We start from the raw sequence: 26,520 nt of genomic DNA, 5'->3' as shown, positions 1-26,520 counted from the left end.
GCTTTCAGATGGTTTCTATTATAGTGGTGGGAAATAAAGAACAAGTGTACAAACAACTATTTTATACACATTTTCTTAAGTTCTTCTTAAACTGGAAGAAGAGCAGAGCCTTTTTCTTACAATACTTGATATTATCAAAAGATCTTTACATGCATGGTCTCCTTTTATCTCTCTATTAACCCTATATCCTAAAAGCAATCATATACTATAAAATAGGTAGAATGAGTCCCAATAATATATGATTCCCAGCAAGCTATACCTTACACAGTGCCCCCTTATTTCAGTTTTCCTTTGTCAATATGTAGCATACAGCAAAAATGAAGTTTGAACATTGTTCATTGTTTATCTGGACACTTCTGATGGGTTCCACAGTGTAGAGATTAACCACTCACTGAAATGGTTAGCGTGAGGCAATAGTAATATAGTGGAAAGAGCACTAGGTTTACAAGGACTGGATTCTTCCACTTTCTAGGAATATGATCCTGGACTTGGTCAAATTCTTGAGACATCAAGTGTCCTCATCTGTAGAGTGGGGTAATGCTATATACCTTTTAGAGTTGTTCTAGGCTTGAAATTAAAGAATATTTTTGTAAATTTTTGGGCCTAGCTTACATTAGTAGGTGTGTATGCACATTTCCTGGAATATGTGTGGATAAATAAGCACATAATAGACATTATTTAAATGTTTCCACTAACTGTCCTGCTATGATTGACACATGATGCTTAACGTGACCAGACCAATACATATGGTAGTGAGTCTTGTAGAAAATGAAAATGAGCAAGCACCAGAACATGGCTGTAATGAAATAAGGTGCTCAGGGTTGTTGAGTCAATGAGTAGAAGAATTGGAACTTAAACTTGAACCTTCTGATCTCAAATGCCCTGCTGGAACTTGGACATATTCAGTAAGAGGTTTTGTGTTTTAACTGAACTGATGTCTTGGATTGGCATGAAACTAAACATTTCTCTAAGTCTTTCATAGGTGGAAGATGGAATCAATTTTCTTACAATTTTTCATGAAAGATGCTTTATGTAGCATCAGAAGTTCTGCAATCTAATCCCACACTATATTCCTAACCTTGTTTTTATCTAGCTTTATTCACACACCGAACCGCTATGATTGAGCTCCCTGATCTTTATCCATGATTTCCAGCTTTTTAATCTTTGTTCAGGCTGTTCTCTGTCCTATAAATGTCCTTTTTAATGTTAATTGCTATATACCTAACTTACCCTTTAAAACCTAGGTCACCTGCCTCCTTCTTTAGGGATCCTTACTTAACTCTTCCCAGCTGGTCACATTCTCGCTTTCCTCTAAGTTTTCATAGTGTTTTATGTTGTTGTGTTTTGGCCCATTTTTACCTTTACCCTATATTATAATTATTTACCACAAGATCCATACACCTTAACTGTTTGGAAGGGGATAAAACCGGGAATTAGGAGTGTGGTGGTTCTGGATTTGAATCCCAGCTCCAATATTTCCTAACTGTATGATCTTGGGCAAGTTACTCAAACTCTCTGAACTTCAGATTTCTTATCTATAAATGGAAGTAATCTCTATCTCTCAGGGTATAGAGGTTATTATTGTGAGTTCTCTACACAGTGTCTGACAAACAGTAATAGTAGGTATTCCATGCATAGTGATTCTTTTTCTCTTCTTCCCTCTCTTGAAGAGTAGAATATTTGTATGCCACATGCCTAAGTCCCATACACAGTGCTTGACACGTAGAAGATTCTCTATACTATGTAGGTATTATAAAGTAATATAATTTATTTAATTATGTATTAACAAATGGATAGCCAGACATGTGAAAGAATAAAATATGGCCCCCAAATATAAAATAAAGCTGAACTTTCAGTGTTTAGTTTCTATGTCATTAGTATTTTTTTGCACTGTCTATTTTCCTATTTTTCATTTAGATCCATTGGGAGGAGTGAACAGCGTCCAGACCCTTAGGTAGGAGAGGGAGTTATTTATCATCACTGCTTTTAGTCCTCCTTCAGCTGTCTCTTTCTTTTGAGCAACTCTCAAAAGAGACCACACTGTTCTGCCTTGAGTACACTGGCTGGGATATGCTAAAGACAGGTTATCTCCTGGAAGGATGATGCCAAACATGATTGGCATGACTTCCATCTCTGAGCCCTGCCAATGTTGCCCGCCCTTGTGAGGCAGACACCAAAGATGCAGCTGACATGGTGAACTTAAACAAATTCTATTGCTTACACACTGAATTAAGTCTACATCTGTGGCTGTTAAAGTGGGAAAAAAAGATTAATAAAGTACATGTTGAAGCTTGAAAGAATAATTAGCAGGATGTTATATGTTTTGGCTGCAAAAGCCGTCTCCACATTTAGCATAAAGCAGAACCTTTCTTCTAATCCTTCTGAGGATGAGGGATTGGCTCAAACTAAATTGGTTTTCTTTGTGCGTCTTGAGATTTTTTTTTTAATGTTATCATTTTTAAATATTATTATTTTCCAAATTTCAAGTAAGCTTTAATCAGCCTCTTTGTGGGATCTGTGTTGTTTCTGGATTTGCCAGTAACTCGATTAGCTGCCATTTGGGCCCTGATAAAAGAAAGCGCTTGAATTGTGGGCAGCAGAGAGCTTAAATCACACATTTTTCATGGGGGTGCATTCCATCACTATCAGAGCTGTGATGGTGGCTGCTAACAGCCCACCTCACTGAGATGTAGAATGAGTTATTGGTGTACATAATAAACTAACATCTGTACGGTGCATCTCAGAATGAGTGTCAGGGAAGCTGGAAGACAAAGCAGAATGGCATCATTAAGGCCAGATTTAAGACTCCAATTTGTGTAGCATTTGCATAACAATGCACAAGAGCAACTATTCACTGTTCCCTTTCAGAATCCACATGTTTCACCTTCACAGGAGCATTCCTGAGGGACGGGAGGCAGAGAGGAGGTGCTTGCGAGAGAGGGAATCATTCAGTGGGTCAGAGTATCCTTCTTGCAGGTTCAGAATTCACTGGGCAGGAAGGCGGTGCCCTGTCTTGTAGGCTGATGATAGGTCTCCTCTGGCTTACACCAGTTCCTTCTCTTCTGGCTCTGAGTCAGCATATTTTTCAGTCAACAAACATTTATTGAACATTGAAAAGTCAAGAAAAATCCTTGTAGTGCAAAGACAGGACCTCATGCCTTGCCTTAGCCACTTTCTTATCTCTGGACCTATGCTACAGTGATTCATCTTTGTGATCCTAAATATCCTTATTTCTGCAATACTTACCAGTAGTATATTATTACTAATACTGGGAAGAGTTTGCAGCTATTGAGTCCTGACTTTATAGGAGGCAGATGTCAAGCATATTTAATCCTCTCAACAATTCTCTAAGATTAATGATTCTATTCCCTTCTGCTTTTACCCATGAGGAAACTGAGGCACAAAGAAGTAACTTGCCAGTCACTCAATCTCTAAGTAATAAAGGCAGGATATTCTAGTGTCTTTTTATCTCACATGATAGAGTCTCAACAATGTTAAATTGATAAATATTCATTGACTACCTCTGGATGCCAGGCACTGAACTAGATGCCTAAGATTCAACAGTGAACAGAAATGGACATGGCCCCAAGCCTTCGTGGGACTCCCAGAGAAGTTGAGTGAAAAAATAGATGGGGTCACACATCAATCAATAGTAGTGCTATTTTGCCACTGCTGTGTTAATTGGGGAAAGCACAGGCCAACCAAACAGCCTTGGTTTCAAATTCTGCTTAAAATCTGCTTATTGTATGTCCTTGGGCGGGTCTCTTAACCTCTCTGAGCCTTAGTTTCCTTTTGGAAAAAGGAGGAACAATAATTGTACCTGCCTTAAAGAGTTGTTGTAAGAATTAAATATCATAATGAATGGGACATATATTTCTTAGCACAAAGCCTTGCCTCAAATTAATTTTTAAACAATGGGAGCTATTGTCATCATCACTATTATTATTATTAATTAACCAATTTGACTGGAGTGCAGTTAAGCTCCTGTGACCTGAAGGATCAAAAAAGATCTTGCTATTTATGTCTTGTTCAGTATTCTTATCTAGTCTTGCATCTTGAGGCACTGCCTTTTTTTTTTTTTTTTTTAACCAAGGCAGGCGCACAGAGCCCCTCCTGGCCACAGCCAGCTGTCTGGGTATCAGGACTGAGGATCCCCACGAGGATATAGCATGTTTACTGATTCCTCTTCAAAACAGCTTCCCTTAAAGTTGCAGTTGTAACAGAATTGCAGTGTCCTCTGGCCACACACTTGTGAGGCTCTCAGTGCTGTAAAGGAAGGAGCCTCATGTGTTCTGAATGACAATGATCATCTCTGCCCCTAGACACCAGCCCTCTGCTCCCAGTCTCAAATTCTGGCCTAGATATTTGGGCAGACTCATGCATTTCTGTCCTGTGTGGAGTGCCTCCTCTTTCCCCCAGCCCTTCCAAAGCTGTATCATCCCTAGCAGGTTAAAAGCACATGGGCATGAGAGATTTTATTGGAGGGATGAAAATGTGTGAAAATGATTTATGGTGATGGTTACACACCTGGGAAAATTTGCTAAAAATCATTGAATTATACAATTGAAATGGGTGAATTTTATGATATGTAAACTTCACTACAGTGAAGTTATCAATAAAAAGAGGGACACCCAAGCTCACTCTAGTTTCATTTTTTAAGACTCTGTTTTCTTATCTGGAAAACAGGGTCAATTCCTTGTAGCAAAAGGCTTACTAGTAGCTGAGAGGTTTTAATATAAATTTTATTATAGATGTGAAGAAGTGTAACTGTATTAGAGAAAAAGAAAAGTGGAGTCAGTGTGAATGTGTTTGTTTTCCACTCTTCAGGAAGCTGGCTTTAGGTCTGAAATACATGTGGCTTTTTTGAAGAGTCCTGTGTTGAGTGCCTCTCTGTGGTAGGCATTGGCTGCCACTTTCCTCCTCACAAACACGTCATGCAATGATCATGAGAAAACAGGGCACGTGCGTGTGTTTGGGTTGTTCACTGTACTTCAGGCACGATTTAAACAGTTTTCTCAGGATAATTTCATTCAATCTTACAACAACTCTACCAAGGACATTCTATGCATTCACAGATGGAGAAACTGAGGCTCAGAGGTTAAGCAACACCACTTGGCTAGGAGGAGCTGTGTCCATTCCTTTGCTTTCCCCATTACACTTTCTCCAAGATCCTCAACCCTATTAATAAATGCCCCATAAGCTACTGAGGTCCTGCTCCCCATTCTTGTGTTCCCACAGCTTCCCTCCATCCTTTCTCTGGCCCATGGACTGAGGTTCAAGATTTTCAGGTAAACTAAGTGCTTCAAATGGCAGGTGGCTCAACATCTCCACCCCTGGCCTGCCTTGAAATCAGAGCTGCATTTAAATAGCTCTGCCACCAACTAGCTGCGTGACCTCAGCCAGGGCACTTAGCCTCAATTTCTGCAAATGGAAAATATATATTTGTATAACATGTGCATAATAATGTGTATTACTACTGACCCTTCTGGGGTGGCTGTGAAGAATAAATGTAAGAGTGTAAGTGAGAGAGCCTTTCAGAAAACTGTGACTCACTCTGCAGTGTGAGGTGTTACTTCTGGTCACCTCTGCCTATTTCTCTGAGCTCCTTGGTTCTGATTCTGTATTGTAGATCCTGTGCCTTGGCATTAGTCCGTTATCTCACAGCCTCAAAAGCAGAGTTCCGGATGGCCTAGCACTAGGTCTGGAACAAGTAACGTATGCTAATATATTTCCCTTGTATTCTGACCCCCACTTCCCGTCCTGAAGCCTTCGGCTGGGGGTGGCTGAGGAAGGCAAAGGCTGGCATAAAAGAGAGATGGATTCTGGACTTAGAACCAGGCAGAGCAAAACTGGACAGCTACTCTGAGAAGGGGCCGTGTCAGTTTCTGTTTTCTGTTTGTAAACTTCAAGGCCAACAGGTGCTCAGAGCAGTCATCTGACAGTGATGACCAACAATATTTCCCACAAGGCCACCTTGCCCGGGAAGCATCCACAGATGCCAGTCAAAAAGCAATGACCCAGTGGACTTTCAATCTAAGTTGAAGGCATTGATGTGGACCCCGGAGTGCAGGACAGGCAGACTGAATACTGAAGTCAGCACACAAAGAGCAGAACAGTCCTGACCCACACAGGTGGAATCTATGTAATAAAGGGGTCCTAACAAGCTGGGTTAATGACAATTTCCTCATTTGAATTCTATTTCAGAAGAATGCAGGGAATTGTATTTTTAAAGAAATCCTAGAGCACTTTGGCTAACTGAAGAATTGTCTGGTAAAATGAAGTCTCTCCCATCTACAATGCAAATTTTAAGTAGTGTCAGTTGGATTTCCATAAAATTGAGGGCCATCTATTTTAAAACATGTCAGTAAAGAGAAGCCATCAAAATCGGGTTTCTTCTTTGAGGTTTCTTTGTCATTGAAGCGGAGAGGAGCACAATACACTCAATAGCCTGAAAAAGAAAGGGCTTATTTTGAGTTCCTACTATGCCCTGGTGACTGGGCCATCCATTGTCACGTGTGATTTCATCAAATCCTTACATTTACCCATTGAGGGAAGGGCAGTTACCCCTGTTTCATAGACCAGGCACTTGAAGCTTAAGAACTTAAGTGATTTTTCCATGAACACACAAATAATAAAATGAACATTAATATGATAGTCTTTATTAATGATATTCATATTCATAACAATAACATTATATACTAGACATTGTCATGAGCTCCTCCATACATTTTAATTAATCTTTATAATAATAAACCTGTATAACAGATAGTATCACCCTTATATTACAGATTTTAAAAAAAGGACTCAAAAGATAAATAACTAGCCTAAATTTAGAAGACTACTAAATGGTTGAGCTAAGTTTCAAACCCAGGTCTGCCTGGATTCAAACTGCTTGTTGTTTTCGTATTTATTTGCTTGTTTATTTATGACATATGCTCTCTAAAATGGCTTTATCAAGTCATTAGTTTATTTAGAATGTTGTGGATTCTTCTCTCTCTCTCTGTCTCTCTCTCTATATATATATATACACCTTGTGTTAACTGCTTGTATCTGCTGATTTCTTTGTTATAGGTAACTAAAGGGAAACTGTTATCTTTGCATTATAGAAAATGACTCAGAAGTGTGATCAATGTACAGAACCTCACAGATAAAGAGCCATAAGCCAGAACCTGTATTTTTCTTCTAACATCCTAGTAGTCCAGAAAAGAAAAGAATGTGGATTGTAAGGCTGATGGATATGTATGAATAAAGTGGAAGAATATGGGCAGATGGAACAATGTATTATCTTTAAGAACTATAGAATTAACTCATAGCCTAAAGATACCAAAATATGCTAAATACTCACTAGTTTAAAGAAAAACAAACAATTAAAAATCTTCTGATATGATAACACAGAGCCCTGCCAATTCATCAGTTAAGGAAGGGGTCACAGACTAACCAAACAGAGGGACCGTCCAAAAACTCTGAACTTAATATTGTGGATACAGCTCAAGATCAGTGTATCAGTTGCCTGTGGCTCCTCTAACAGATAACCACAAACCTGGTGACTTAAAGCAACAAAAGCTTATTTTTTTGCAATTCTGGTGGCCAAAAGTCCAAAATCAGTATCACAGGGCTAGAATTAATGTGTTGGGAGGGCCAGTTCCTACTATAAAATTTGGAGGAGAATCTGTTCTTGCCCTTTGCAGCTTCTGGTTGCCAATATTTTGGGGCTTGTGACCACATCGTTACAACCTCTGCCTACATCTTTATACCACCTTTTCCTTTCTGTATGTGTGAAATCTCCTTTGCCTTTTATAAAGAGACTGCAATTGCATTTAGGGTTGACCTGGATAATCCAGGGTAATTTCCCCATCTCAACATCCTTAATGTACTGATATCAGCAAAGACTCTTTTTCCTAAAAAGATAACATTTTCAGGTTTTAGAGATGAAGACCTGACATCTTTGGGGACCATTATTCTGCCTACCACAGTCAGAAACTGGATCCATAGTACTCCCAGACAGCAGAGGGATAATCTGTGGTCTTTTTAATCCTTACCCCCATGCCCCAAGTGACAATGAGACCTTTCCTAAAGCTTACTTCCTCACCTGCTGAGAATGCAGGAGATGTGTGGTTCAGAAAAAGGGCCTTTTCAGCTGGGTGTGGTGGCTCGTGCCTGTAATCCCAGCACCTTGGGAGGCCGAGGCAGGCAGATCACCTAAGGTCAGGAGTTTGAGACCAGCCTGGCCAACATGGTGAAACCCCATCTCCAGTAAAAATACAAAAATTAGCCATGGTGGAACATGCCTGTAATCCCAGCAACTCAGGAGGTTGAGGCATGAGAATTGCTTGAACCCGGGAGGTGGAGATTACAGTGAGCTGAGATTGAACCACTGCACTCCAGCCTGGGTGACAGAGTGAGACTCCATCTCAAAACAAACAAACAAACAAAAAAGAGCCCTTTGACTAGAAGTTGATGGGCTGACTAAGGCTTTCCTGAACCAGAAAAAAAGTAGGGAGGAGAGAGATGGAGCAAGTGAGGGGCAAGAGAAAGGATGGGAAAATTGGGGGTGCAAGGAGAGAAAATGGAGAAAATTGAGAAAACAAAAACAAAGAGAAGGGGAAGGAGAGGAAGGGATTATGAGGGGAAAAAAGCATGATTTAGAAAAAAGTGAAGAAAAGTAAAATGGAAAATTAAGAAGTTAAGAGAGAAGAAAGGGTAGGTAGGGAGAACAAGGGAAGATGATGAGAGCAAATTTGAGAGAAAGGGAAGATGGAAGAGAAAGAGATTGACAGGAGACAGGAAGATAAGAGAGAAATGTGGAAGATTAGAAGGCAAAAAAGGCTGGGTGTGGTGGCTCGTACCTGTAATCCCAGCACTTTGGGAGGCCAAGGTGGGCTGATCACTTGAGGTCAGGAGTTTGAGACCAGCCTGGCCAGCATGGTGAAACCCCGACCCTACTAAAAATACAAGGATTAGCTGGGTGCAGTGGCACATGCCTGTAATCCTACCTACTCAGGAGGCTGAGGCACAAGAATCACTTGAACCCATGAGGTGGAGATTGCAGTGAGCCAAGAATGCCCCATTGCACTCCAGCCTGGCTGACAGAGCGAGACTCTGTCTCAAAAAAAAAAAAAAAAAAAAAAAAGGCAAAAAAGAGGAGAAGAGAGAATAATTGAGGGGGAAAAGAGACTAAGTGGGAGATAGAGCAGGCAGAGAGAGGAGACCAAGAGACAGCAGAGCTGGAGCTCATGCTGGAGAAAATATTAAAAGCATTTGAAAAGATGACCAATGTCTATGTGTTTATGTGCCAAAACACATACAGCAGCTGCAAGTCACAAATCACATTCATCGGCTGTTACAGTCTGGTAATTGTCCATACAGATATTTTCTTTCTGGTTCCAAACCCTGGCTTATCAGAGGACAACATGCTTTTGAAATGCCACATTACTTTGTAAGTACATTTCACATCCAAAAGTTGCACTAAGTATGATACACTGAAGACTTATTTCATTTCCATTCTATGTAGCTCCCAGGCTCTAGCACAATTATTTTTAAAGGGCCATTTTGATTTCCAGTTTCCTGCTCTTCAAGGGCAGGACAGACCTTCCCACTGACTGTTTCCAAATCAGCCATTTAGCCTCCTCCCTCCCTCCCTCCATTTCTCACTCCTTTCCTCCCTCCCTTTCTCCCTCCCTCTCTTCCTCCCTTTCTTTCTTCTCTTTTCTCTCTCCCTCCTCCCCACTCCCCTTTCCTCCCTTTCTTCTCTCTCTTCCTCCTTCCTTCTTTTCCTTCTTTTCTTCCTTTAACTCCTTTTCTTTCTTCCTTCTCTTCTTTCTTTCTCTCCCTTCATTTCTTCCCTCTTTTGTCTTTCTCTGTTTCTCTCTCTCCCTCTCTTCCTCCCTCATCCCTCCCTGCTTTTAACTGTCTTTTTTATAAGGCAGCATAAAGCTGTAGACCAGGGTTTCTTAAACCTCAGCACTACTGACATTTGGGCTGGAAAATTCTTTGTCCTGGGGGCCGTCCAGTGCATTGTGAGATCTTAGTAGCATCTCTGGCCTTTACTCACTGGATGCCAGTAGCAACTCTCCCCACCTCAGTTGTGATAAACAAAAATATCTCTAGACATTACCAAGTGTCTGCTGGGGGCAGAATTGCTCTTGGTTGAGAGAGGCTCTAGTCTGTCCTCAGACCCAAGCTCCAATCCCACCCCACTATTTCCTGGCTATGGGATCCTAGGGAAATCCCTCAAATTTACAGAGGGTTCAGAATCTCCTGTAGTGCTTGTTAAAACACAAAGTGCTGATCCTACCCCTGGAGATTTTGAGGCAATCGATTTGGAATGGGGACCTGAGAATGTGCATTCCTAACAAGCTGCTGATGCTGCTGGTCCAGGACACACTTCGAGAACCACTGCCCTGCCCCTAACCTGGCTGATCTTCAGTACCTTCACCAAACTGTACAGTTCATAAGACTCCCTTCTCTGGCTTGTTCTACAGGTTATGAGAAACGATGTATTTAAGATACTTAGCATAGGACCCTGGCCCATGATAGCAGATTAATAAGTGGTAGCTCATAAAGAAAGTCCTCTTAAAGGAAGGTTAGTCTTTGGCAGGAACAGCGAGGATTAAAAATGTATATGGATATATTCACAGCAGCTCACAAATGCTCCCATTTTTAAAGAAGAGGTTCAGTGGCTTTTCAGTAACAAAGTACATGTGCTTATTAATAAATCCTCTCAGTGGGACCAATTCCCTGCAGGAAGATAAATGGAGAGCCAGCATTGCACCTGAGATCCTGGAAATCTAAAATTGATAATCCATGTACATACTTGGCAATAAGAACAAGTGCAAACTCTGTTACTAATGTCCACAAGAAAGAGTATCTGTGGATACTGTTGCCTAAAAATCCTAATATTCTCTCCCTAGCTGAAAGGACTTTGCATTTTTCATACATCTACTATGTGCCAGGCAATATGCTAAATTATATACATGTGTACGTTAATTCCTCAAACTACTCTAGAAAGTCTTATCTCTGTTTGTCACATTAAAACTGGGAGTGAGGCTCATGCCTGTAATCCCAGCACTTTGGGAGACCAAGGCAGGTGGATCACCTGAGGTCGGAAGTTTGAGACCAGCCTGGCCAACATGGTGAAACCCCGTCTCTACTAAAGATACAAAAATTAGCTGGGTGTGGTGGTGTGCGCCTGTAGTCCCAGCTACTCAAGAGGCTGGGGCAGGAGAATCACTTGAACCCAGGAAGCAGAGGTTGAGCTGAGATCGCACCATTGCAAGAATCTGTCTCAAAAAAAAAAAAAAAAAAAGAGAGAAAAAAAAGATGAGGACTCAGAGGTTAAGTGATTACCCAGTGACATCATTTGAAATTTACAAATATCTAGTGAGGAAGCACTATTATTATCCCAGCTTACAGCTGAGGGAGCTGAGGCACTTGGTGTTAAATAACTTGTTCAAGGTCATGCACAAGGCTAGGCAATGGCAGAATCGAGATACAGACCCAGACTATTCCAGGGCCTACACTGTCCTATACCTACGTGTGTTTATACTACATTGTCTCTGGCAGGACACAGAATTTCTAGAAGTACCAGGGAGAACTTGCAAAGGAGCAGATCAAAACAGACAAGAGCTTTCTGAGGAGTTTATGAAGGGCTTTCATTCCCCTCCTACCTTTATTCTTTAGAAGACAGGCAGAATAGAGGTTTTCTAAAGATACTATTTTGTTTCTCTTCTGGCACTGATCATATTTAATACAGTGATTTGTTCATGTGCAAGGTTCTTGAGGGGAGAAACTGCATATTCAGCTCTGTGTTACTCCTATCTAGTATAGTGGCTGGCACACAGAATACACTTGTAGTCATTAGATCAAATTGGGGACCAATGAACTTCACCTTTCAGCAGCAACGAGGTTGTTATCTGGAAACTAAATGATTCTGATTCTGGATTTGGTCAGTGCTGTCTCAGATTCTTCTACTGCATAAAAATTTCTCCTTCTCCCCTCAGACCCCACTTCTATTCTCCCTAGTCTTCACCCCCAGTTCAGCAATATTTCCCTAAGGGGAGTTGCACTATGCTAATCACTAGGGGTATCCTCCCCAAATCGGATGCTGTTAGTGGTGGCAAATCTGTAGGAGTCTGCAGCAACCTCAAACCTTGCCTCCTTGGAAGAAGGAATTCAACTGAGGGGCTATAAGGCAGAGGGAGGGACCAAGACAAGTTTAAGAGCAGGAGTGAAAGTTTATTAAAAAGTTTTAGAGCAGGAATGAAAGGAAGTAAAGTACACTTGGAAGAGGGCCAAGCAGGCAACTTGAGAGATTCAAGTGCACAGTTAGATCTTTGACTTGGGGTTTTATATGTGGGCTTTCTGCATGTGCAGTGGCCTGCCAGCACTTCCAGCACTTGAGAGGGCCTGCATGCACAGTGTTTTACTTAAATTGTACATGTGCTCACTGGAGGCTTTCTTCCCTTACCAGTCGAGTGTTCATAGAGAAAGATCATATACTAGTTAAACTCCTCCATTTTACCTCTTAGTGAACATGCTGGTGCCCACTTGCCGAGCTTCCCAATAAGTTGGGAAGCTGCTAATCACCAGATTCAGGTGTTTTTTTATGTACTGGGAGATGGCCTTTCCCTGGTGCTGACTGCAACCACTTATTATTTGAGAAAGATAGTTTAACAACTACCTGACCATCACCTGATGGTTTTCTGACATTCCTGGTTGGCAGTGGGGTGGAGGCGGATCTCTATCCTGCTCTGCTCATGCCTAACTACCTACTCTAACAATACTTTACACTCTCCAGGCTCACCAACAGACCCCCCAAATGCTAAGAGTGGCCTGGCATTAAAACGAATCACTAAGGAAGAGAAAATTCTAAGAATCCACAATTTAAGGGAAGAGTCATAAAATAATTACATGCTAAAATCTGAGAGACTTATAAAAATAATTTGTCCCAACATTTGATAAGACCACAGCCCAGTGAGTTACATGATTGTCTGACATCTATGCAGAGCTAGAAGGGGGGATGCAATTTTCCCTATTCTCAGAGTTACACTTTTCCACCCTTCTGCATTATTTCTGTCACAGTCGGAAGATGCTGTCAAAGTGATTTGACATCTATAAAAACAGCTTAGATAAACCAGAAAGGATCAAAGCAAGGGCTCATGAATGATAGTCATAATTTTGAGAAAAGATAAAGAACGTGAATTTCAACCCAGCAAATGAGGGCAAATTTCCAAAATTTGGGATCCTCAGAAAACAGGATTTATGATCTCTTTTGCTACACTACCTTGCTACCTTGTTACTTATGGGATTTAGTCTGAATTGTTATTTTCGAAACTTCTACTATGTATAGTGCTAAGTTTTTGAAAAATACATAATCTCATTTAATTCTCATCACAATTCTGAATGGGGAAGATCATTATCCTTATTTTTCTTTTTTTGAGACAAAGTCTCACTCTGTGGCCCAGGCTGGAGTCCAATGGCACGATCTCAGCTCATTGCCTCCTCTGCCTCCCGGGTTCCAGAGATTCTCCTGCCTCAGCCTCCTGAGGAGCTGAGATTACAGGCACCCGCCACCATGCCTAGCTAATTTTTGTATTTTTAGTAGAGACGGGGTTTCACCATGTTGGCCAGGCTGATCTCAAACTCCTGGCCTCAAGTGATCCGCCCGCCTCGGTCTTCCAAAGTGCTGGGATTACAGGAATGAGCCACCGCGCCCAGACTATCCTCATTTTCCAAATGAAGCAACTAGGGTGCAAAGAAGCTCAATGACTTTGCCAAGGTCACACAACTTAATAAATTTAGTAGAATTTAGATTCTATCCTGGATCCATGTATGTGCTTGGTCTGTGGGGCTTCTGTACCTTTTTTTTTTTCTGAGAAACCTGAGACTCTCAATAGCAATTTAAAGACCCCTGCTGGCCTCATTTTCAAGTCTTTAAACTTTCAAAGTTTTCAAGGTTACCCTGTAACTCGCTAGTCCTTTTTCCCTAGAGGGTCTTGATCTTGATAGCTGTGAGTAAAGGTTTGTTTGAATAATCCATTAACGTTGAGAAAATTACCTTTGCATTATGAAGTATTCTGTGTCACTTTAATACTAATTACTCTAACTGTATTTATTGAGGATTAATGACAGCAATATTTTATTAATAACCAACTGGCATTTATTATTGAATAAATAGAGTGCCTCATTAAATATAGATGCATTTTTATTTGCACACTTTCATTGAAAATGTTGCCAAATTTTTTTGCATTGATTAAAAATCTCATAAAATGGTTGGCTAGTGTTACCTTTGTGCCCCACTTTCTCCCCAAAAGAGTCCCTGGCAATTCCTGCACAATAGGTAGACTTTGGGATTATTCATCAGTCTGTCAGGAGAAGTCCCTTTAACAATGCACAGCTGCTATGAATTCTGGTTGCTATGAGAACCTCAACTTTTTGCTCTTCTCTCACTTTGTTATATTTTCATGTGTAACCCTCACCTGATATTAGGAGGTTCCTGCATTTAAAAACTTGAGTACCCTATAAGTAGCTCATCTGAAATCATGTACCTGGGGGAGCTGGAAACTACTGTCTTTGCCTTTCATTTGCAGTTGAGGAAACTGAGGCCCAGAGAGGGGTGGTAACTTGCTCAGCAAAACACAGACAGTTATCAGCAAAGCAAGGACCAGCACAAGGTCTCCTAACCGTCAGTGTTCTTTCGGCTGTACCACACTGCTCTGCTCCGGTAATTCTGACATCCTCTCTCCAGGTGCCAATGGTCTCATCCTTCTTTCTTCCTCTCTTCTTTCTTTTTTTTTAATCACTAAACAATCCAAACATTACAAGTCTGCTTCACTTGTTAATAGTTGCTTTCAAATTTTTCTAGCTGAAAGCTCCTTCCTCCTAAGAATTCCATCACCCTTTAGAGTTGTCCCCACCCACAAGGATCTCCAGGTGTATGCTCATCTATTCTCATCAAACCAGTCAGTCCGCTACCCACATCCTGTCCGCCCCCAGTGTTGGATGCTATCCTGAAGCCCTCTGAATGTGCCTGTCTATTCCATCCGAATAATGCCCAACATAAGTAGGCCAGTGTCCACACAGAGATGCTTACTCCCCATGCCCCAAAGCTGCTGGTCCTAGGATACTGGAGCATGCTTGGGATCAGTGAAGGAGCTAAGCCTTGTTCCCCAACTCCCAGAAGTGCTCTGTGCATCTAGGCCTCACAGCAGCTTGGCCTGTGCTCTGAGTCTCTTACAAACACAACGGCTTCAGCTTCTGACCTCACTTCTCTGCTCATACAGCCTCCAACTCAGACCAGAAATGAAGTGGAAGAGGGAGGTTGCAGATGCCATGCTCTTCCTTTGTTGTCCTCCTCCTTCCTTCAAGGTCTCTGATCTCAGATTCTTTCCTCTTTCAAGGAAAAAGTAAAATAAAAGTCCTCATACATGTCATCCAGATCAATGCAGGACCACAGGATTCTGCAGGCTTCAGTTCCTCATATAGACAAACTCAGCATCTCATCTCTGTCTCAGCTGGGTTACCTTGCTCTATGTACACTTTACTCCCTTTGTCCTCCGCCTTTTGCTGCCAGACTTAATAGTCAGAGGCCTTGCAGCCTCAGCTGTTCCTACTGTTAGTTCACACCTGGAATTAAAGTGTGCCTTCTGCTATAGTAGCCTTGCCTCTGTTCCCCAACAGGCTACGCTTTTATAAGGAGAGAGACCTCTTTGGTTTATTTTATATTGTATTTGTATTATTTAAATTCTGTGTTTTCAGCACTTAGCACAGGGCCTGGCACATTGTAGGACCTCCAGAGATACTTGTAAAATACTAATGAATGAATGCCTAAATGCCTCTTTCTACTGGGGTTGGGATTGTAGGAACCAGTGCAACTGAACTTTCTTTGACCTAAGGAACGAGCTAAACCTTTGAATAAGGGTCTAGGCCAATTTCCAGCTTCTGCCAGTACAATGAGCTCTAAAACGTGACATTTGCATCTATTTCACTAAGACTTGTGGACTCCCCCTACTCCCCCAAACTCTGTAACAATAGAAGTCCTCATTCCACTAAAACCGTGTCATTTCTTTAGCGTTTTGAGGGTTAGAAACTAGGACAAGACTATCAGCCAAATGCAGCGGGTACCAGTGTACTGACTGTATATCTTATCAGATATTCAAGAATGCAGCAAGAAATGTCATGGGGAGCTTTCGACAAAAATATTTAATTAATATCAACAGCTACAGAAATGAATAACACCATCCAGGCAATTACAGTGTTCAATAAAGCAGCTCTCCGAGGATGGGGTGGCAGCAGATTACTGACTGATGGACTGCATTTAAATATATTATCTGCTCATTGGAAAGACTCCGGTGGGTTCCTCCCCTCTAGGACATGGCCAGCAGTAGTATTATTATTTTATCTTTTTTTCTTTTTAATAGAGTGACAAATTGAATTATCTGAGAGAGTGGTCAGAGATTTCTAGCCCTCTCTGAAATACCCATGCATTCCGTGACCCTAGCAAAGAATACCAGGAGAAATGGAGGAATAGCTGGAAATCACCCTAAATGTGTTGTGCTCAGGGTAAGTGCTCATGAAAGTGTTAAGTGAGGGTCAATAGGAAAAGCTTGGGCTTTTAAGTTTCCAATTCTGGCTATGTGACCTTGGATAAGTTACTCCACTTCTGTCAACCTCAGTTTTTTCTTGCTCATAAAAAGGTGTACTGAGATTTACATAGCTGTGCGGAGTTGGTGATGAAGGAAGATAACCCATGTAAGCTCCTGGCATATGGTAGAAGTTCAATGTATGGTAGTCCTTTCCCTCCTAGGTAACTGCATCGGGGTCTAGAAGTGGAATTTGGTTTCCTGGCCACTGAGAGGTTCATGGTAGTGACATGGCACCAGCTGTAGATAATAATAGTAAGGGCAATCAAGCAGTGAAAACACAGCATCTAGATACATGGTAAAACACCACCACAAGGATTCAAGCAGAGCCTAAAATTCCATGTAAAATGCACAACTGCCTTATTATAAGGTTAATACAATGATCAGTTAGGACAGGACCCAGAGTGAGAGAATCAATCAGAAAGAATCTGTCCTCACTCTGAAAACGCTGAGTGTCCTCTTTATGAGAGAAGTGATTCTGGGGCACATCATAAACACCTAGATGCCAGTTCTCATCACCTTCCTTTGGGCCAGACTGAGAAAGTGCAGGGAGCAAAATTTCCCTTTCTTACTCCTGGGTAGTGGAATTATATTTTCTACCTCATCTTTATCTACACTGCCTATTTTTCAATAACTTTGTGTTCCTTCATTGATGTAAATTGAAGTATAGCACATACATATGAAAAAGTGCACAAGTCCTATCTATGGAACTTGATGAATTTTTCCAAGGGACACAACCATGTTTCCAGCACCCATATGAAGAAGTAAAGGTTTTCTGGCACCCTTGAAGCCCTATCCTACCCTCTGCCAGTCAGCACCTGACCAAGGTAGCTACAATGCTGTCTTCTAACTGCATGGATTAGGTTCACCTACCTTTGAACTTTATATACTGTATGTACGTGGAATCATGCCGTGTGTATTTTTTTTGTGTCTGGCTTCTTTCACCCAACATTATTGTATTAGTTTCATAGTCGGTAAAAAAGGAATTCCCACTTTGTGGAAGAGACAGCCATCAAGTACAGCGAGCTCTGGCTGACTGCATGTGGTCTCCACTCTGCTGTGTCTCTGCGTCTGCTTGTGCAGGTCTCTACCTGGAATGTCCTCCTTGACTTGACCTTCTCAACTCGGGCATCCAATCTCCCTTCCACCATCAGCAGCTCTAGAGAGCGTTCTCTGGCCTACTCCTTTTTTTTTTTTTTTTTTTTTTTTGAGACAGAGCCTCAATCTGTTGCCCAGGCTGGAGTGCAGTGATATGATCTCAGCTCACTGCAGCCTTCGCCTCTCAGGTTCAAGTGATTCTCTTGCCTCAGCCTCCCAAGTAGCTGGTATTACAGGTGCCTGCTACCACACCCAGCTAATTTTTGTATTTTTAGCGGAGATGGGGTTTCGCCATTGGCCAGGCTGGTCTTGAACTTTTGACTTCAAGTGATCCACCCGTCTTGGCCTACCAAAGTGCTAGGATTACAGGCATCAACCATCATGCCCGGTCTTGGGCTTGCTCCTATGCCTCTCCTTTGGGCTGGCCTCCCATGGCTTCTGTGCTTCGGCAGTCACAGTACTGCTCATACAATGGTGTTCCTGTCCTCTGCGAGTCCAGCTTGCCCAGGAGGTGACTCAGGGGCAGGAGCCATCTTTCATTCTTTATCCCCAGAACAATGCCTGGCTAAGGGTGTATATTAGTCGATGCTTGTTGAATTTAACTCATCAAAATAAAACAACATAGCATTGTCACCCACAAGAAGTTGACTGAAATTTTAGGTTACCAGAAAAGTTACTGATTGTCAGTATTTTAGAGAATTATTCCACACTCATTGGAGGTAATGTAATGTTTTATTAATAGCCTCTGCCTCTATTAATTTCTCCCTGACCAGCAGAATGGAAAATGAATTAGTCAGTTCCACACATTATTATTCTGTTTGTGTGTGCCAAGCACTGTGGTAGGCAGGAGAAATTTAGGGTAAAGCGTGAGAGAGAAGTAACAAAACCTATGTTGTAGAATTGCTGTGAGAATTGACGATGGCATCATACAGAGCCCACTGCTTGGCCACAGTCATTATTCCACAAATGCCACGTCTCATCCTCTCCTCCCACCCCAAGTAGCAGTTGTGGCCTGGAAGAGTGCTATGACTCCTGGTGTCCAAACAGCCTGGGGTGAGGCCTGGGTACCTATCTGAGTACCCTAAACACTGTGTGTGTGCCCAGTGTAAATGACTGGCCTTCTCATTGATCTCTCTGGCATTTCTTCTGGGATTGTCTTGCTGGAGTACAGAGAGTCTGCCACCCTCTGTCTGGGCCCCTCCCCCGGGCCTGATTATATGGGACCAGCATACTGCTGCCCCTAGATTCCCCATATTGCCCACTGCCTCCTCTCACACTGCTGTCTTTATCTACTCTGTCCCGTCCTCAGTCTGGACCTCTGGGGGAAAGGCAGCAACAGGCCTTGTGGACAGAACATGCATGTCATGCTCCGAAAGACCTGTGTCAGGCCCCTCCCTCTGCTCTTAAACACTGGGTGCCTTTCAGTGGGTGGATTAACCTCTCTGAGCTCAGTTCCTCACCAACTTGTTGTTAGGATAAAAACAGTGTATGTATGTGAGACGCTTAAAGTTAAATTGGGAAGGGAACTAACAAATGGATGTTGGTATGTTTGGGGATAAATTAAATCAAGTTGGGCTTTGTTGGTGAAGAGCATGGGCTTTAGAATGAAACATATTTGGATTGGATCCCATTTCTGTCATTTACTGGCTGTGTGATTATGGGAGAGTAACTTATTCTCTGTAAGTCTACCTCATAGTGGCATATGCAGTAGTAAGTGTTTAATAAGTTCTGCTGTTGCATCAGCAGCATCATTATTTTGGACTCAGATGAAGTCCCAGTTCATCATCACCCTTAGACACCATTTCCTGGGAGCTGAGGAGACACTCTGCTGCTTGACCAGCTGGCTATTCCTGCCCTTGCCTTCCTCCCTCTGCAGTCTTTCAGTGATGGGTTCCCAGGGTGCCTTGCAGCTTGGCTTGGCTGAGTTATGAGGTCAGGCTCGCAAATGACAGATTCAGGTCCTGACACATCATGGAGAAATGGTGCCTGATTTACCTCTTTCCAACCAATACTCTGAATTTTGAGGGAGAAGAAAAGAAAGGAGGTGGGTGTAAAAAATAATGCAAAGTCTCAGAAATTAATGAGGTAATGGCAAACATATTTTCATTCAAATGAGCTGGGGTCATGTTCTTGAGGTGGCAAAACAGAGGAATAGCCAATTGAGTAAGCTCAAAGTGGAAATCAAGCAAACAGGCAGAAGAAATCAATGTCCTGGTGCATCTTTTTTGTGGCAATTACTTCTCTGAGCCTCCCAGCCCTGGTGCCCCATGTTTGGGCTACAGATGTTCATTTAGCAGCCCCAAGTTTGACATCTTAATGTCTTCCTTCCTATATTAAAAATGGATATCTGCTTCAAAATTCATATACGTCACTAGTGTTTCCATCAAAACCTTTCTATTTAAAGAAACAGTCAGGAGAAATTGAGGGGTGAGGGCATCTTCATGGGGTGGGAAGAACTTTACCCTAGGAGTCATGCTGTTTGGCATGTAGTCCTGGCTTCATTCTTTAAACTGTGTGGCCAAGGACAGAGCACTCCACTTGTTTGAATCAAAAGGAAAATAGGTTTAATCATCCCCACTCATTTGATCTTTGTGTAATGTGAGTATTTCATGTGTTTTCTGGGATGGGTGTTGAAGTGTTTCTGTTGATTATAAAGTGAAGGCATAGTGGTGAGTATCACCAGGGTGTGGGGGCTCTAGCGAGAGGAGGGGGATCAGGTAATTACCTATCAGGCTCCTTTCTCAGCACTTTACTCATATAACCCTCATGCCTACTCTATGAGGTATTAGCATCATTATCCCCATTTGGTATCCAGAGAAACTGAGGCATGGGGGAGTTAAGTAACTTGTCCAAGGCCACATAGCTAGTAAGTGGCAGAACTAAGATTTGGAGCCCAGGCCCACTTGACTTCAAGTCTGTGCTCTCCTCGCAGAGGGGAGGGCTGTAGACTTCAGATGACCTCTGAAAATGCTTCTTCCAGCAGAGAAAACCAGGTTCTTGAGAAATATGGAAACAGAAGGAGCCAGAACTAAGGCTGTTGAGGTCTGGCCTAGGATCTAGGTATGCTTTGCCTCTTAGCTACCCTCAGCAAAAGCCAACATTGGGAATGCCTGCTGATTTGAAAATAGTATTTGTATTTCTTTAGCTTCATAAAGAGGCTCTAGGGTAATTTGGCTGTTAAGGAATTGGAAGGCTAAGGAATACTGGCTATCTGAAGTCCCCACCCCTCTCTCTCAATCCCTTGCCATCCCACACCCCTCAAATTTTCTACCAGGGAACCTTTGGAGTCTAACAGCCCAGTCAGCACTGGCTGTGCTTAAATTGCAATAACAGGAGGCAACAGGCCCTGGGGGATTCCATCTCATTAGAGGCCAAGATGAAGTTTGTGCAGAAAAGAAGTCTCAGTGACCAGGATCCTGCTCCCCAGCTCAGTGTGAGGGGTCTTCTCCCAAGGGGAGGGAACTCAAGGTTCCTGAACACATACTATGTTCCAGGAAGTTTACCTAAATGGTCATTTGAAACCTTCGAATCCCCAATCTGAGATACATTTCATTTTCCCCATTTTATAGGTGAGGAAAAGAAGATCAGAGAGGTTAAGTCACTTGCCAGGGTGACACAGCCACAGAGTGAGTGGGGGGGCAGAATTGGTATGCAGGTTTGTATGATTGTACATGCCCTGTGTCTCCACTCTGGCAGCCTGCCTCTCGTTAAGTAACCTCAGGCCTCTGCTTCCCTGGCAAGCTCAGTCTGGATAGGACAAGCTTTTGGTTTTCTCACTACGCTGCTTGCAAAGCTGAAATCAACCAATGGCCGCATGTATGTGGTCAGGACCTCCTCCAGGGCATCCTTAGTGTTAACATAGATGAGTCTCTTCTGGGTGGGATTGGGTTCCTAAGTACACACCTGGCCCCAAGCTCAGTAGGGACAACCCAATTGTCAGTTCTCTCTCATATTATCTACTTAATTGCAATCTCAAAAAGGAAAGGACGAGTGAATCCTGCCCACCAGATGCTCCAGGCATGCGATCGCATCCCAAGTATACTCGTTGTCTTTGCTGCTTTTTCTTCTTCTCCATTAGTAACCGACCAGTGTTTTCCTGAAAAAAAAAACAAAAAAAACAAAAAAACCCTCTCACTTTGGAGGGGACACTTCACAGCACTCTCCATTCCCTCCCCCAACTCCTTCACCAGCAAATTAAAACTTCTCTCTGAGCGCCAGCAGAGGCAGGCAGGCATCTTATATAAATGGTAATTAGTGCAGCCTCACTGAAGACTTGGTGGGAAAGAAGTCATCTCCATTTCAGAGCTGAGCACCTTTAGCATTCCTTTGGACCTCTCTTAAGGTAGCTTATCACACTCTGCCACGTATGGTTTATTCATTCATTCAAAAAGGTTTCATACCACAGTGGAAAGAGCACATGTCTTAACTTTTGGCACACTTCAGTTTGAATCTTGGGGATCTCAGCTGTGCTACTTGGTAACCTTTGACCTTGGACAATAAACTTCACCTTCCTATGCCCCAGCTTGCTCTTCTTTATAACTAGGGAACCAATACTACCTTCATAACATCGTGGTGGGTTGAGTGAGATCATATCAGTGAAATACCTCACACAAAAGGTAAAAATAACAATAGACTCACAAACTGTAAGTTACCATTATAGAAAATAGAACCCGGATGTGTCTATGTGGCTGGGAAGAATTGTCTGCTGGAAGGGCTGATGCTGTGCAGGGAGCTGCAGTTCCCATTATCTGAAGAGCGTCCTATAAATGGGGCTGATTTGTTCTCTATGGTTTCAGAGAAAGAAACCTGATGGTTGGAAGTTTCAGGACAGGTTTTAGTTCTATTTTAAAAATATTTTTGTAACTATCAGAGCCATCCAACAAAGGCAATATAGAACAGTTAGTGCATGGGCCCTGGGGTCAGAAAACCTGATGTGACATTTTCAGCACTACCCCTTACAAGCTGAGTGACCTTGAACAATTCATTTAAAGTCTCTGACCTCGTATACTTACCTATGAATTAAGGGTAATAATAGTAACTATCTCATGTGGATTTTAGTGAGAAATAAGACAACGAATGTAGGGCCCAGGGTCCAGCCTGTAATAAACAGTTAATAAATGGTAGCTAATTATAATTTGAATAATAATGGTTACTAAAGCCTTTGAGAGATAGAACGTTCTCTGTGGAGAGTCATGGAGAGGACGTGGCTTTGGAGTTAGTCTCAAGAAATGACTTTGGAAGACACTTTCCTGATAAGGTCAAAAAAGAGGAAGCCTTCAGTTCTGTTTCACAAACCAAAGGACTTCCTGAATTGCGGTTTCTCATTTAATGTTAGATGAGAAGGTAAAGCAGCGGAGAACACGTGGTCCTCTGTAAGGGAGACTGCAGAGAAGACAGAATGGGTGTCTTAGTCCATTGTGGCTGCTATCATAAAATACCATAGACTGGGTGGCTTAGAAATAATAGAAATGTATTTTGTACATGTCTAAAGGCTGGGAAATTCAAGATCAAGGCAGATTCAGTGTCTTGTCAGGGCCTGATTTCTGGCTCATAGATGGCACATTTTTGCTGTATCTTCAAGTAGTAGAATAGGTAAGGGAGCACTCTCGGGTCTTTTTTATAAGGGCATTAATCCCAATCAAGAAGACTCTACCCTCATGACCTAATCACTTCCCAAAGGCCCCACCTCCTCCAATACCATCACCTCAGGGGTTAGGATTTCAATATATGAATTTTGCAGGCACGCAAACATTCAGGCCATAGCAGTGAGAGTCAAGGCTAGGTGATTCCTTCTCCTCCTCCCCCTTTTAGCTCCCAGGTTGAGGGCAGAGCTGAGCAACAATTACAAGATAGCTTGGTGTGTCCTATACTGGCCTCTGTGTCAAGTGTGAAGGGTATTGAATGCCTAGAAATGTGTATGATCAACTGTGTCAGTTTGAACATGTTGGTTAATCTCTCTGAGCTTCAGCTGCTTCATCTATAAAAAGAAAGGATAACAATACCTATCTCATAGGGCTGTTAGGATAAAACATCCTGATAGATGGGAAGCTCCTTGCAGAGTCTCTGGTGCATGGTGTGATCACTTAGGTTGTTCACACCCTTTCTGAGTACACTGAGAGTCCCTGAGTCTTGGGCAGCATTTGAGTCTCTGTGCTTGTGTGACATATGAAGAACACTGACCACGCATCTTATTTTCTCCGCTATTAGGTCACAAGACAACTCTGTCCGGGACACTTTGACTCTTCCTTCTTCACAAAACCTAACTCAAGACTCCAGTGTGGCTAATACTCACAGCCATTTTTTTTTTTTCTTTCTTGAGGGTCTACTGTGAGTCAGGGACCACGTTGGAAACTTTATATTTTTCTCTCCTTGACTCCTTACACCAGTTATTTATTCACCTATTCCTTTGAATTAATCTTTATTTAATATACATATTAAGCGTATATTATGTTCTAGGCACAGAAGTTGGTGTTAATGCTAATCACCTCTCGAAGGCCTGACCTCCTCCTAATACTATAACCTTGGGGGTTAGGATTTCGACACATGAATTTTGGGGTGACACAAACATGTTCCAGGCACAGTGATAGGTGCTAAGATACAGAGATAAATACCACATTTCCTGTCTTCAAGGAATACCATCTTGTAAAGAAATTTGACTAGTACATAGAAAAATTGTAATATGAGTGTCATTATTTCCACATTACAAACACAGAAACAAAGGATTAGAGAGGTATTAAGATACTAAAGCAGGCCGGGTGTGGTGGCTCACACCTGCGACCCCAGCACTTTGGGAGGCCAAGGCGGGTGGATTACTTGAGGTCAGGAGTTTGAGATCAGCCTGGTCAAACTGGTGAAACCCCATCTCTACTGAAAATACAAAAATTAGTTGGGCCTGGTGGCGTGCGCCTGTAATCCCAGCTACTTGAGAGGTGAGGCAGGAGAATCACCTGAACCTGGGAGGCGGAGGTTGCAGTGAGCCAGGATCATGCCACTGTGCTATAGCCTGGGTGACAGAGTGAGACTCCATCTCAAAAAAAAAACAACAACAACTAAAGCAGGTTTTCAATGCAATTTCCACTGTGCCTCCTTTAACCCTTTTCTGAAAGCTGTAGTTTCCAAAGCCCCTTTATTGAACTCTATGCTCTCCAAGTTGGACGACTGCATTTGGGAAGAAAAGAAACAGAAGAGGAGAGAGAGGGTATTCAGGGAGCAGATAAATGCAATTTAACTGACTTACAGATCCTTTTAAGCAACTGACCTTTATGCTTTCACAGAATCTGTTGAGCTAATTGCATGTTGGGGTGCCCAAATTATTAACATGTAGTAGAGACATTTGTTTCTCAAATGCAAAGTAAAAGTAACTTGCCTCCAAATTCTAGATCTCATTAAATGAGCTAATTCACCTACTGCTTAATTTGCTGGAAGCCCTATGAGTAATTAGGCTGCTGACATCTCCCAAAATTATATTCTTAATTGTTGCATTCTTTTGCATCACAATGAAGCTGGCCAGCCTTCCTCCTAGAGTGCCTGCCTCCTCTCCCCCAATAGCTCTGTGGTGAAGAAAGGAGTGAGTTTTGCATTTAACACACTTACCATCACTATTGTAATTAGGGGGAAATATTAATTAGAAACACAAGACCACCCTAGAGATCCAGCAGATATTTGAAGCAATGGGTTTGGCTGTTTAATTTTTTTTCTTTCTTTCTTTCTTTCTTTCTTTCTTTCTTTCTTTCTTTCTTTCTTTCTTTCTTTCTTTCTTTCTTTCTTTCTTTTTTTTAAGCTAGTCCTGGGCCCTGAAATCCTGCAACTGTTATATTACCAAGGCGAGCTCCTATTTCTTGATATTTTTTACAACAATTTATAAGTGCTTACTGGAGCGGGGCTGCCTTGCTTTGGCTTGTAACCCACAACACAATATTTTACTCTTGAGATGTTGCATCCATTTGTCATAGTAAATGTGTGTGTGCACATGTGCATGTGCGCGTGTGTATGTTTTTATACATTGGGTATGAGCAGCATCTTCTTTACACAAATAGCACTATTCTGGGGAAAATGTACGCCAAGCCATTTCCCGGAGAACCACTGCAAACACATTTCGGGCTCACTGTAGATAGACACTCTAATTGCTTTGAATTTACTTTAGTACTTGACTGAGGATTGCTTTGTGGTGATTATGAAAGAATAAGGAGGCTTCTGCAAGGAGATTTTAGAAAGAAAATATTTGCAAGACATTCTATTTTCAAGTCCCTGTGTGAGACAGCCTCCAGTTGCTGACGTGGGACCAGTGGCAGATCCTGCTGCAGGAATAGCGGCGCTGGGGTCCTCACTCAGTGACTCTTAATTTGTTATGACACATGCATGTGTCCTTACTGCCTTGCTTTTCAGTTGCATGAGGACCTCAGTTTGCTTTTGCTTCCTGGCTGCAGGAGAGCTATTTAGCATTCATGTGGGTCCTTTTGCAGGCAGTTCTGTGCCCAGGCTATGGTCCTCTTCTACTCTGCCCAGTGAGCTCATTGGCCGCCTGGGATTCCCGTCACTCAATGCCCAGAAAATGTTGGCCAGATTTCACCCCTGAATCTTTCAGTGTGACTTTAAATAAGGGTGATGTTCCTATGTTTGGGAAGAGACCCTTTCTGGTTCTTATTCTACCACAAGCTTTATATGTGGGCTTGAACAAGTCATGAAAGTTCTCAAGATCTCTGTTTTATTTAATATGTTGAAGGCCAAGGCTGCTTTGACCTCCAAATTTAGTGAATGTGTACATCTTGGGTGTCATAAATCT

The 26,520-nt window shown here is 42.2% G+C and overlaps 1 protein-coding gene and 1 long non-coding RNA gene across 5 annotated transcripts in view, besides 3 other annotated features; one reads left to right on the top strand and one right to left on the bottom strand.

Annotated features, from left to right (window-relative positions):
- Positions 1-26,520, top strand: part of DAB1 (DAB adaptor protein 1) — a 1,551,949-nt gene that overhangs the window by 537,032 nt on the left and 988,397 nt on the right. The gene's annotated exons all lie outside the window — the stretch shown is intronic.
- Positions 1,638-2,606: an enhancer, noted in NCBI's record as "OCT4-NANOG-H3K27ac hESC enhancer chr1:58472761-58473729 (GRCh37/hg19 assembly coordinates)". NCBI's record gives its function as "activates a minimal SCP1, AML or CMV promoter by ChIP-STARR-seq in primed H9 embryonic stem cells {active_cell/tissue: H9 hESC(primed)}" and the evidence as "EXISTENCE:reporter gene assay evidence [ECO:0000049][PMID:30033119]".
- Positions 5,477-6,106: an enhancer, noted in NCBI's record as "NANOG-H3K4me1 hESC enhancer chr1:58469261-58469890 (GRCh37/hg19 assembly coordinates)". NCBI's record gives its function as "activates a minimal SCP1, AML or CMV promoter by ChIP-STARR-seq in primed H9 embryonic stem cells {active_cell/tissue: H9 hESC(primed)}" and the evidence as "EXISTENCE:reporter gene assay evidence [ECO:0000049][PMID:30033119]".
- Positions 6,107-6,736: an enhancer, noted in NCBI's record as "OCT4-NANOG-H3K4me1 hESC enhancer chr1:58468631-58469260 (GRCh37/hg19 assembly coordinates)". NCBI's record gives its function as "activates a minimal SCP1, AML or CMV promoter by ChIP-STARR-seq in primed H9 embryonic stem cells {active_cell/tissue: H9 hESC(primed)}" and the evidence as "EXISTENCE:reporter gene assay evidence [ECO:0000049][PMID:30033119]".
- The window catches only part of LOC105378746 (uncharacterized), a 33,633-nt gene continuing 26,551 nt past the window's right edge, over positions 19,439-26,520 (bottom strand). The window contains exons 4-5 of the long non-coding RNA XR_007066127.1: positions 21,744-21,834; positions 19,439-19,751 (exon numbers count right to left, since the gene is read on the bottom strand). This is a non-coding gene — a long non-coding RNA (uncharacterized LOC105378746). The remainder of the gene's footprint in view (positions 19,752-21,743; positions 21,835-26,520) is intronic.

This window comes from Homo sapiens, chromosome 1 (genome assembly GCF_000001405.40).
Source record: "Homo sapiens chromosome 1, GRCh38.p14 Primary Assembly".
NCBI classification, from domain to species: Eukaryota; Metazoa; Chordata; class Mammalia; order Primates; family Hominidae; genus Homo; species Homo sapiens.
Note: the sequence above shows the minus strand (reverse complement) of the source record. Positions and strands in the feature narration are given on the sequence as shown.